Source organism: Homo sapiens, chromosome 6 (genome assembly GCF_000001405.40).
Source record: "Homo sapiens chromosome 6, GRCh38.p14 Primary Assembly".
In the NCBI taxonomy this organism is placed as follows: domain Eukaryota; kingdom Metazoa; phylum Chordata; class Mammalia; order Primates; family Hominidae; genus Homo; species Homo sapiens.
Window position 1 is genome coordinate 137,925,314 of NC_000006.12, and position 13,113 is coordinate 137,938,426.

The 13,113-nt window shown below is 37.8% G+C and overlaps 3 annotated features.

Moving 5' to 3' along the window:
- Window positions 367-1,566: an enhancer, noted in NCBI's record as "P300/CBP strongly-dependent group 1 enhancer chr6:138246817-138248016 (GRCh37/hg19 assembly coordinates)". NCBI's record gives its function as "activates an origin of replication core promoter dependent on BRD2, BRD4, P300/CBP, MED14 and CDK7 cofactors, with strong dependence on P300/CBP, by STARR-seq in HCT116 cells {active_cell/tissue: HCT116}" and the evidence as "EXISTENCE:reporter gene assay evidence [ECO:0000049][PMID:35650434]".
- Window positions 2,412-2,651: an enhancer, noted in NCBI's record as "active region_25157". NCBI's record gives its function as "activates an Ori minimal core promoter by ATAC-STARR-seq in GM12878 lymphoblastoid cells {active_cell/tissue: GM12878}" and the evidence as "EXISTENCE:reporter gene assay evidence [ECO:0000049][PMID:35858748]".
- Window positions 8,642-8,691: a silencer, noted in NCBI's record as "silent region_17592". NCBI's record gives its function as "represses an Ori minimal core promoter by ATAC-STARR-seq in GM12878 lymphoblastoid cells {active_cell/tissue: GM12878}" and the evidence as "EXISTENCE:reporter gene assay evidence [ECO:0000049][PMID:35858748]".

Genomic DNA, 13,113 nt, shown 5'->3' on the forward strand with positions numbered 1-13,113 from the left:
TGCTCTTCTCCTTCCTTTACCCGTGACTTCATCCTCATGTGCGTAACGGCAGCAGCCAACATTTCTCGCCAATGTGCCAGGCTCTGAGCTAAGATCTTCACATTCATTGTCAGCTAACCTCACAATGTGCACAGGTACCAATTCAACAGGTCCTGGTATTATCCCGGTTTTATGTTTTATAGCTGAGAAAGCTTCAGAGCGATGCTATCACAGCCATAGGTGGCACAGCTAGTGCACAGCAGAGCCACCCTCACCCACCCCTCTGTATTGCTCCTCACAGTTTCAGTCCTCAGTCTTTTCTTTCTTCTCGCCATTCACGAATCCCGTCAGTATTCACTTTCCAGGACCTGTCGACGTTTCTCTTTAAGAGCTTTCTGTTGGATTAGAAGCTCCACTGAAATTCATCTTGCTGAAATGCAAAGCTAGATGAAGGAACCTCAGAGAGAAAGCATTGATCCAAAGCAATTAATTCCCTCAATTTGCCGAATAGGAAACGGAGTCCTGGAAAGGTGATACGATTTGCCAGCCTTCCCTGTTGATGACGCGGCAGGATCACCTGCTCTGCCACTCTGCCTTTCCCCTCCCTTTCCACCAGACTCCAGCTCCTCTCCATACAGGACTGGGACCCCCAAAGTGTCCTGCCCACCCGAAGTTTTCCTCTCAGGCCTCCGGCTGTGTGCTTTGTTCCCAAAATTGCTCCAATTTCCTCCCCTTCGAGCCCACTTCCTCCCTAACCCCCAGACACAGGCATTGATCTCTTCTTTTGTGCTAGGGGTTTTGCTGATATTTGTAGGTGGCCCTCTGAAAAACATAAACAAAACTGGACCTGACTCAGAATAAAGTGGTAAAGCTGGAGGGAAAAGGGGGATGGGGCCCAGCTTCGGAGAGAAAATTACCTCCAAACTTTAGACTGCTGGTTGGCTTCCAAGTACAGTGTGTGGGGTGGATCACCATCACTAAACCAAGCCCACCTTTTAGGGGAAGGGGTATTATTCAAAACACCTCTTTATCCTGACCTGCCAGGACCAGTTCCCCTCCCCCGTGCCAGCTGTAGTTACAGCCCTCTGAGTCAACAAAGGGGTTGGGCTTGTAAGACTTCATTTATAAGCACCTAAATTCCCTTTCACTTACTCCCAGAAGCTCATTAATAGATCAGTTGGTCAACATCTTGGAATGTGCCTTGGAAAAGGATAGGATAGATGAAAGGAAAGTTTCCATGAGAGGAGAGGAATTTAAGGCCAAAGAGTAGCCTGAAATGTCCCAAGCTCTCATTAGAGATTGGCAGGCTCAGTTGTTGCATTGCTACACATGGTTCCTAAATTCCACCAACAGAGAAAGGTAGTCAGAGGTTTACCCAAAAAGACTGTCTGCTGGTCATGTTACTGCTTATGCTGGCAAATGATTAATAAGTTGGGAAGAAAAAAACCCAAAAGATTTGTTATAAAACATTCTGTGGAAACTTGGGGCAGAGATTGCACCCAAAAAATCAGCGATTTCAAGTTAATGGTGATCAGGTAAAGGAGATATTTTGAAGTAATGTGATGCAAAGCTACTACCACTGATTACAGAGTTTGACATCACTGCTCCAAGGTAGGAAACAGGAGATCAGTAGGAATTCTTTACCTTCCTTCCACTTTTCAAATGGAGGCGAAGAATTAGCTTCTATGAATCCTTTAGCAACTCATAGCAAGAAAGAGCTTTTCTCCTTGTCCTGGTCCAAATTAGCCACAGGCTGGAGTTATTGAGAGGAACAGCACATTGAAGTTGCACAGAAAGTTGTTTTCAGGGAGGACAGAAAAAAATGGAAACTGAATTGGGCAGACCATGTGCCTCCCTAAATCCAAAATTAAATCCACGATACATAATCTGCCTGCCTTCTCACATTGCACTGTGCTGGGTGGCCAAACATACCAAGGGGCTCCTGCTGAACTGGAAGCGGGCTGTCATCTTAGCCTCCATGAAAAGCTCATCTTTGAAAACTCATCTTTCCTTACGGGACTACTACATTTTACAAGGATTTTTTTTCTTCTAAATGCAATACATTGATGTTTACTTTTTAAACAAAAATGCTCATTATTGAATTTTTTTAGTTGATTCTACTTTTGCAGTTTGTGTAATTGACATCCTAGGTGACATGGAGATTCCTGTGGCTGCCTGACTCCAGGCAGTGGCTCCCAGAAGCTAGCAAGCAGAGCACACTGCCCAGAGTTGGGATATCAATACCCTTTGTGAAAACCACAAAATAGGCAATTTGAAAAGTAGAGAGAACTCTGAAGAGGAAAAAAGGTCCCTTGCCATTTTACTACTTTCAGCATTTTAATTAAAATGTATTTTTGTCAATGCAATGGTTGTTTCAGACATTTTAAGAAAACATCTTGATTCCAAACCCCGGGGTAAATTAAGTCAATAAACTTTTGAAGACTTGTGCCATGCTGCAGATGGACTTTAAAAGCCACTGGGGGGTGGGGAGAATGGGGGTTTCTAAATATAATAAACTTCCCAAAAAGGCAATTTCAAGCCTAACTGAAGTCATACTATTTTTGAAAGTGGAAATCCCCCTTTTCACCACACAACCCCGTGGTCGAGCCATCTAAGAATTCAGCTTCTGTGCCAGTGATAGGACAAAGCTCATCCTCTGCCGAATGCCACAGTCACTCCTCTTCCTTCCTGCCACCCACAGGGTCAGCAACAAGCACTATCAGTTAAACGTGACACCTGGTGTCTGCGGGCTGCCTCCGGTGGGAGCCAAATCCCACGTGTTGGTGTGGTTCCCACTTAAATAGATGTTTTCCTTTGAATCGTTTCTTTTCAACCTTGATTTCAGTTCTGTGCTAGTTTCTGGACTTTTGCCAGCACTTCTTCATAAAACAGCTTGTATTTGCTTTGAAAAACAAGAAAGGTTTGCATTTTGGAAAATATACTTCATACTTCATACTTCTAACCTTTACCATGGCCTGAAGGAAAAATGTAGCAGTTTCTTTCTGTAAATTTTAAATATAGGAAAGATAGCGGTCACTTTATAAAGAAAGCCAAACTTGTCCACATCCTTACACTCTTCCTCAAAGTTCATTTCCACATTCAATTTGGGTCGGGCTTTGTTTAGAGTGCCAATGAGCCTGCCTGGGCCACTTCTGCATTCTTGATGTTTGCAGCATTCACTGCAGAAACTGGCATTAAGACAGGCCTCTGCCACCCACAGCAATGCTCCTGCCACCTCCCTCCACTGTGCAGCCCCAAAGTGACAGAGGCTGAGGATCCCCAGCAAAGCAAACTGCTTCTGTCATCTGCTTTCAGGCAATTTTGAGGCACCTTTTCTTGGCTTATTTCCACTGCTAAGCCCTGACACAATATAATATTTCAAAAGCCCCTAAGTGCTGACAGAATACTCAAAATCACATTTTACAAAACCAAAGACAGAGGCCTCCCGCTGCTTATTAATGCCCATCATGATAATTCCTTACTTTGTCATAGTCTATGTATTTGTGTTGTTGTTAGTTTGTGTTGTTGATTTGTTCAGCCAAGGATCAAGCAACAGAGTGCAAGTGAGGCCACCCAGCGAGGGGGAGAAGGTGCAGCCTCTCAATCTACAGTGTACTTCTAAACATTCACTTTTTTTCTGATTATATAGGTAATTCACGTTTACGTGAGAAATTTTGGGGAAATTTGCAGAACATTAAGAAAAAAAAATTATTGCTCTAGATCATCTCCCCAAAATTGCACCTCAATATTTTGGGAAATATTCTTCTAGCATTTTTTTCTATGCCTTTAAATATTCATCACCACCACCCCCTGCCCCTCTCCTACCCCACTCCTCCAGTTGGGATCATGTTAAACATACTGTTTCATAACAGTATGTCTAGCACACTGTTATGGTGTAGTGTAATTAGTTTTCTGTCATTTAATTTGATCCATCTTTTGTTTCATTTGTTATTATAAAAACCCAGAGTAATAGCCAGAGCAGATGTTATTAGCCCCATTTCACAGATTAAGAAAATGATCACACCTGTAATCTCAGCACTTTGGGAGGCCAAGGCAGGCAGATCAAGAGGTCAAGAGATCGAGATCATCCTGGCCAACATGGTGAAACCCCATCTCTATCAAAAATACAAAAATTAGCTGGGCATGGTGGCACATGCCTGTAGTCCCAGCTACTCGGGAGGCTGAGACAAGAGAATTGCTTGAACTTGGGACGCAGAGGTTGCAGTGACCCAAGATTGCACCACTGCGCTCCAGCCTGGCGACAGACTGTGACTCCATCTCAAAAAGAAAAAAAGAAAAAAAAGAAAATGAGACACAGAAGTGCCTATACTAAAGTCATAGCATGGTTAAGCTTAGGTCTCCCAACTGCCAATAAAGTGCTCTTTGTCTACATCAAATTAAAGGGAGAGAAAAGCACAATGTAGGGGTCCTCAATATTCCTTTGCAAGAATAAGAGGCATTAATGATAGGTCATTGACATAATGACTCCTTAGAGAAGAAAAAAATAATATTTTACTACTATAGCAATAATGGCACTGATTTACAAATGACAGAAAATACAATGTTTTCAGGAATTTAAAAATATTTGGGAAATGTTGGTGAATATATGAAATTTTCATTCATTGCTGGTGGGAGTGTAAATTGACACAACCACTTTAGAAAACTGGTAAAACATAATGAACATCCTAACACACAGCATTACCATTCCTTGGTATATAACACACAGCATTACCCAACACACAGCATTATCAATCCTTGGTATATACCTAAGAGCAGAGCAAGGTTCAACAAACTATGGTGTACAGGTCAAATCTGGTCTTTGTAAATAGCACTTTATTGAAACACAGCTACATCCATTTGTTTATGTCTTCTCTAGAGCTACTTTGGCACTGCAATGGCATAATTGCGACAGACAGAAACCATATGACCCGTAGATCCTAAAGGATTTACTCTTTGACCTTTTACAGTAGAAATGTGCCACTCTCTCTGCCTGGGAGGATAAATGCATATATTCACAAAGCAGTATGTTAAAGAATGTTTATAACAGTTTTACACACAATTGCCAAAAACTGAAACCCACCCAAATGTCTGTCAACAGTAGAACAAATAAATCTTGGTATAGTTATACAATGGAATACTATACAATGATGACAAAGAACAAACTATTGCTTTTTTTTTTTTTTTGAGATGGAGTTTCGCTCTTGTTGCCCAGGCTGGAGTGCAGTGGCGCAATCTCAGCTCACTGCAACCTCCATCTCCTCAGTTCAAGCGATCCCAAAGTGCTGTGATTATAGGCGTGAGCCACCATGCCCAGCATTTTTTTTTTTTTTTTTTTGAGATGGAGTCTCACTCTGTCGCCCGGGCTGGAGTGCAGTGGCACAATCTTGGCTCACTGCCACCTCCACCTCCTGGGTTCAAGTGATTCTCCTGCCTCAGCCTCCTGAGTAGCTGGGATTACAGGCACCCGCCACTACACCCATCTAATTTTTTGCATTTTTAGTAGAGATTGGGTTTCACCATGTTGGCCAGGCTGGTCTTGAACTCCTGACCTCATGATTCGCCCTCCTCGGCCTCCGAAAGTGCTGGGATTACAGGTATGAGCCACCATGCCCGGCCAAACTATGGCTATCTACAAAAGTGATATATTTCACAAACATAATGTTATACAAAGAGTACTTACAAAACGATTCCATTTATATAAAGTCTAAAGACCAGTCAAAAATTAACATATGGTGATCCAAATTAGAATATTGGCTACCTTAGGGTGGTTATTGACTGAAAGGAGGCATGAGAGAGAGGCTTCTGGGGTGCTGGCAGTGTTAATCTGGGAGGTAAATAGGGCATGTTTATTTTAAAATCCAACAAACTCTATACTAAAAAGTACGTTATACCTCAAAAGAAATTTAGAAAACTTGTGAAGTATGAGAAATGGTCAGAAGAGATGGTAAAGGAATACAGAAAAATCTATCGTAATGTTGTCAGATGTAATTATTACCACTATATGATTATAGACGTCTCTGATTGGACAGAATAATGTAATAGCATTTTTGTTAGCAAAATTAATGCCACAATTGAATGCTATAACAGAAGTTCACACTAACAAGAGATAAGTCTGTTGCCCTCATAAGGGTTCTTCACTGAACAATATGAAGGACTTAAAGGAGTTGGCAAAATCTTTAGGCTCTGAAGCTGCCAGAAGATTCTGAGGGTAGGCAGATGAGTAGAAAAAAGCTCCAAGGAGACAAGAGAGGGGACCAGATAAGGAGGAGATTCAGTGATTCCACTCAAGCTACTCTTATTGCAGGTGGACTCTGTATGGATTGATGACCGATTTCATGGGAAAAAAAAGGAAGTAGCTTGCCAAAAGTCTCTGGACTCTGTGACCGTGCCTGATTGACCAAAAGTAAGACTATCTTTTTGATAATTGACAGATCAACACACCCTCCTAGATGTTACAGACACAGATCCCATTAACTGAATAAATAAATGAAGAAAATATGCAGAAAGGAAACTGTTAACCTTGGAAGGGAAAGGAGCAGTCTCCATCCACTCTTCTTTCACTTACATCTTTATATTTGTATTCAATCACTTTGTTATTTTTACTTATTTATGTTTATACCGGCTGTTTCCTCTGCCTGGAACCTTATTCGCCTGTGCATCCTCATAGCTACTCCCTATTTCCTTCAAGTCTTAGCTCAGATTTCACTTTCTCAGTCCAGACCTATACAGACTCCCTATCTGAAGTTGCTGCCCACACACTCATATCAATATTACAGGTTTTCCCTGGCCTGCTGTGTTTTTTCCATCGTACGTATCACTTCCTTATACTCTATGCACTGTACTTATTTATTATGGCTATTGTCTGTCTGTCCCGCAATAAATGTGAACTCCACAGGAGCAGAGATTTATTTTACAGATGTAAGTCTGTATCCCTGGCACAAAGTAGGCGTGCAGTAAATATTTGTTTCATGAATAAGTGAATGAAGATGGTAGTCACCATCCTTTCTGGCACTAATATTTAGAATTACTGTGGCCCACAGAGTCTTTCCAAAAAGATTGCAATAATTTGTACTCCCAACTACCAATATATGAGCCTGCTTATTTTCCCATATTCTTATTAGTATTACATATTATCAGTCTTTTTCATTGTGCACTATTTGTTGGGTGCAAATGTACCTCATTGTTTTTTAAATTTCATATGTTTATTAATCATTTGCATGTTCACTTCTAGGAATTGCCTGTTTATGTCATTTGGCCACTTTTATTTTGGATTGTCTTTTGTTTATCTTGAGGGGCTGTTTTATAAATTGCCAATACTTTGTCTATCAGATGTAGTCTAAATACTTTGTTCCACTGTCTTTTAAACATGTGACTTGAAGCATTTAGACATGTTTCTGTTCAAAGAAATGTAAGAATATGAATTTTCCCTTTTATTATTCAGAAGACATAAAAGGTGTTTCTTTATGATGCTTTTTTGCAGTAAAGGACTATTTTCAAGGGTTAAGGCTCCTAATCAAATTGCAGCTGTACTTAGTAGCAAGTTGTGTACAAAATCCTACCTTTCAGGAACAAGGAAAAAGAAAGATAATTGCTAGGCTAGGTTTAAATAATTTGACTTATAGCAGAATTCTTTATAAGTCAGTGATAAGTAACAAAGTTTATTTTTCTTTTTCTTTGGTTTTAGTAAAACAAAAAACCCAATTGGTCCCCAGGGTAATCAAGCCATGATTCTGTGAGCAAAGAATAATGATTTCATAAAATAATATATTCCATTTATATAACAATTTATAGTTTTCCAAGTACTTTTATAAATATTATCATATTTGATCCTCAAAAACAAAACCGTTTCTCAGAAGGTAAACCAGAAGTTCATAAAAGCTAACTCTGGTGACTGGGATTCCATGTTGATTCTGTGACAGAGCCAGGCCCCCTGCCTTCTATGGAGGATTTCTATTACTTAACTAAATTATTTAGATTTTCAATAAACAAAAATGTTAAAGTAAGAAAATGATATTAGAGTATTAAGTTGAACAGGTTAGGCCTTAAAATGTATTTATTCTTTTTGTTCTAATAAAAATGTTAAGATCATATCTATCTCCTCCTGTCTTACAAAAGCAGACAGACATCTATCTACCTGTAGTTTATTCTTGCCCCAGGTCAGTGCTGACAATTCATAGAATACAAGTCAGCAGGGTCGAGAGAGGCTTCTCGCAAATATTTCTCTGTGATTTTAGTGTCTGTGATCTGTATGTGGGCTACAGTACAAGATTTTAAAGTAGGGATCATTTATACAATCTGAAACACTTTGGGCTCACCTATCTTTATTAACCAAGCTTAATTCCAGATCTGCCCATGTGTTCCTGACTCAGCTGGCCCCTGCCATTCTTAATTAATCCCGTTCAGTCCTGGTATATTTAATCTTTTATGCCACCTGTTTCCAAATACTCTGTCAAGGCCTGGCTGGGTTACTGCTCCATTCAAGCCTTCCTATTTTGGCTTCTCAATTCTGGATTGCTGTGTTTCAGAGTTTCGTTTCACTGAGTCATGAACTGGGCAGCACCTCCAACTTTCCTCTTATTTCAAATAATTCTGGCCTTGAGCACTTCCTTGCTATTTAGCCTGAGGCATGAGAAGACCTTGGTCTGCCAAATAAGAGAGCTGGCCAGCAAGGCTGAGTATCAACCTCAGTCTGGAAACCAACTTGCCTCAGCATTGCCTCGTTCCAATGAGCAAAGAGCCTCAGGAGGTCTGGGGAAAAGGTTCAGAGAACTGTGGTGTTTTTCTCGTGCCAGATGTGATGATAGGACTTTGGCTTGAGACCACATGTGGAGCTTATTCACTCAAACTTGTTATAGAATATCTACTTTTCTTCCAGTAATGCCCTGCCAACAAAATAAAAATAAACACATGCAGAGGTAGCCTTCAGGTGCCTATAGTTACTTTCTATTAAAACAGGCTTCTTCTTGCATAACCTGTTTTTCTTCTGGAGGAAATTTTTTAAGCCATTATTTCTTTTCTTAATTTTATTTTTATTTTTATTTTTAAATAGAGATGGGGTCTCGTTATATTGCCCAAGCTGGTCTCAAACTCCTGGCCTCAAGTGATCCTCCCACCTAGACCTCCCAAAGAGCTGGGATTACAAGCATAAGCCACCACCTCTGTTCATAACCCATATATTTCTGAACTATAGCTTAACTCAATACAACCACAGCAGAAATGTTGGGGGAGTGGGGTAGCAAGAATGTTGAAAATAATACTGTAGTCTAAACATCAACTTCATAGCTTATAGCATTACAGCTTTCTTCAAACTAGATCACTGTCATCTGTAAACAGTAAACAAGACCGTTTAGTCAGAACTTACTGTCAAAAGCAGGAGCCCTATCTGTTTAATTTTTTTCACCTAATATTTGCCTAGGACTTAGAGATATTATGTGATGACATTATTCAAATATTCAGTCCTAGGACCTTAGACTTTGTCAATTTGATGAACAGACTTCTTATATTAGGCAAAAAAAATGAAATTTATGCTTTTTTCTCTCCTTACAAAATAATTCCCTCCCAATGTCCTTTTTTTCTCAGCTTTATTGAGGTGCAATTGACAAATAAAAATTGCATATGTTTACAGTGTACATGATGTTTTGATATATGTATACATTGTGAAGTGGCTATCACTATCAAGCTAATTAACATATCCAACATCTTGCATAGTTAACTATTTGTGTCTATGTGACAAGCATGTATAAGATCTACTCTCTAAGCAAATGTCAAGTATACATTACATTATTATTACCTATAGCTGTCATGCTGTATAGTAGATCCCCAGAATTTATTCATCCTGCCAGAGACTTTGTAGCCTTTGAACAATACCTCCTCCTTCCACCATCCCCTGGCAACCACCATTCTACTCTCTGAGTTTGACTTTTTTAGATAAATACATGAAATTATACAGTATTTGTCTTTCTGTGCCTGGCCTATTTCTTTCAGCATAATGTCCTCCAGGTTCATCCATGTTACCACAAATAACAGGATTCCCTTTGTTTGAGGGGCTAAATAATATTCCTCTGTGTGTGTGTGTGTGTGTGTGTGTGTGTGTGTGTGTGTGTGTCACATTTTCTTTATCCATTCATTCACCAATGAACGCTTACATTAATTCCATATCTTGGCTATTGTGAATAATGATGCAATGAATATGGGAGAACAAATACCTCTTCAATATACTGATTTCATTTCCTTTGGAGGTGTACTCAGAAGTGGGATTGCTGGATCACATGATACTTCTATATTTAATTTTTCTAGGAACCTCCATAATGGCTATACCAATTTACGATTTATGTTCCCATCAACAGTGTACCAGAGTTCTTCTCCACATCCTCGCCAACACTTGTTATATTTTGTCTTTATGATAATGGTCATTTTAACATGTGTAAGGTGAGATTTCCTTGGGATTTTGGTTTGCATTTCCCTGATGATTAGTAATGTTGAGCTTTTTTTTATTACATATGTTGGACATTTGTATGTCTCCTTTTGAGAAATGTCTATTAAGTTCCTTTGCCTATGTTTTAATTGGGTTATTTGTGTTCTTGTTATTGAGTTGATTGAGTTCATTTTGTATTTTGGATATTAACCCAAAACCATATAAATTATTTGCAAATATTTTCTCCCATTTTTGTGGGTTTTCTCTTCTCTCTGTTGATTATGTTCTTCATTGTGCAGAAGCTTTTTAGTCTGGTGCAATTGCATTTGTCTGTTTTTGCTTGTGTTGCCTATACTTTTGGGGTCATATTCAAATAATCATAGCCCAGCCCACCAATGTCAAGAAGCTTTTTTCCTGTGTTTTATTCTAGTAGTTTTACAATTTCAGCTCTCATGTGTAAATCTTTAATCCATTTTGAGATAAATGCCTAATTTTATTCTTCTCCATGTGGACATCTAGTTTTCCCAACACCATTTATTGAAGAGACTGTCATTTGCCTATTGTGTGTTTTTGGACCTTTGTTGAAGATCATTGACCATAAATGCGTGGATTTGTTTCTGGGCTCTATTCTGTTCCACGAACCTATATGCCTGTTTTTGTGCCAATACTATACTCTTTTGATTACAATAGCTTTGTAGTATATTTTGAAATGAGGTAATGTGATGCCTCTAGATTTGTTCTTTTTGCTGAAGACTGTTTTGGCTATTTGTGGTCTTTTGTGGTTCCATATGAAATTTAGGATTTTTTTTCTATTTCTGTGATAAACATCATTGGAATTTTAATAGAGATTACATTGAATCTATAGATCACTTTGGGTAGTATGGACATTTAAACAATATTCATTCTTTCAATCCATGAACACAGGATATCTCCAATTTTTTTCTTCAATTTCTTTCATAGACATTTTGTAGTTTTCAATATACAAATCTTTTATCTCTTTGGTTAAATTCATTTCTAAATATTTTTATGCTATTGTAAACGGTATTGTTTTCTAGATTTTTTTGGATGTTCATTGTTAGTAGCAGAAATGCTGATTTTTGTATGTTGATTTTGTGTCCTACAACCTTACCAAATTTATTTATTGTAACAGTTTTTGGGATTTTTTTTTTTGGTGTAATCATTGAAATTTTCTATATATAAGATCATGTGATCTGTTTTCTATATATAAGATCATGTGATCATGTGATTTTACTTTTTCCTTTATGATTTGAAGTTTTCTATTTCTTTTTCTTGCCTAATAGCTCTGGCTAGGACTTCTAATGCTACCTTGAATAGAAGTGTTGACAATAAGTATCCTTATCTTATTCCTAATCTTAGAGGAAAAGCTTTCAAATTTTCACCAAAGAGTGTGATGTTATCTGTGGACTTGTCATGTATGGCATTTATTATGTTCAATATCTACATTGTTAAGAGTTTTAATCATGAAAGGATGTTGAATTTGGTCAAATGTGGGTTTTTTGCATCTATAGAGATGACTATATTATTTTTATTATAAAAATGCTATTTTTATTATTCAATCTGTTAATGTGGTGTATCGCATATATTGATTTGTGTATGTTGAGCCATCCTTGTATCTTTGGAATAAATCACACTTGATCATGGTGTATGATCTTTTAATATGCTGTTGAATATGGCTTGCTAGTATCTTATTGAGGATTTTTACATCATTGTTCATCCTGGCTTATAATTTTTTTCTTGTGATGTCTTTTTCCAGCTTTAGTATCAGGGTAATGCTGACTTGGTAAAGTTAGTTAGATGTGTTCCCTCCTCTTTAATTTTTTGGAGGAGTTTGAGAAGGATTGGCATTAATTCTTCTTTAAGAAGAATTCTTTGGTAGAATTCACCAGTGAAGACATCAGGTCCTGGATTTTTCTTCACTAAAAGGTTTTCAAATACAGATTCAATCTCCTTACTTGTTTTTTGTCTGTACAGCTTTTCTATTTACTCATAATTTAGTATTGGTAAATTGTATGTTTCTGGGAATATATCCATTTTTTCTAGATTATCCAATTGTTGGCATATAATTATTAATAGTAATCTCTTATGATTCTTTGTATTTCTGTGATATCATTGTAATATCTATCTCCTTTTTATGTAAAATTTAATTTACTTGAATTTTCTTTCTCTTTTCAATTAATTCAACTAGTTTCTCAATTTTGTTTATTATTTCCAAAAACCAACTCTAAGTATCTTTGAATTTTTCTCTTGGTTTTCTAGCCTCTATTTCACTTACTTCTGCTCTAGTCTTTATTATTTTCTTCTTTCTGCTGACTTTGGACTTAGTTTGTTCTCCTTTTTCTAGTTCCTTGAAGTGTAAGTTTAGATTATTTGAGATATGTTTCTTCCTTTATGTAGGCATTTATTACTATAAACTTCTCTCTTCAGCTCTTTCTGTTTCTGTTGGTATGTTGTGTTTCCATTTTCATTTGTCTCAAGATTTTAAAAAATATTTTCTTGGACCCATTTGTTGCTCAGGAGTATGCTGTTCAATTTTCATATATTTGTGGATTTTCCAATTTTCTTCCTATAATTGAGTTCTAGTTTCATACTATTGTAGTTAGAAAATATATCTGATAAGATTTTAATTTTCTTAGATTTGTTTTCTGGCCTAACATATAATTTATCCTAGAGACTGTTCTATGTGCACTTGAACGTGTATT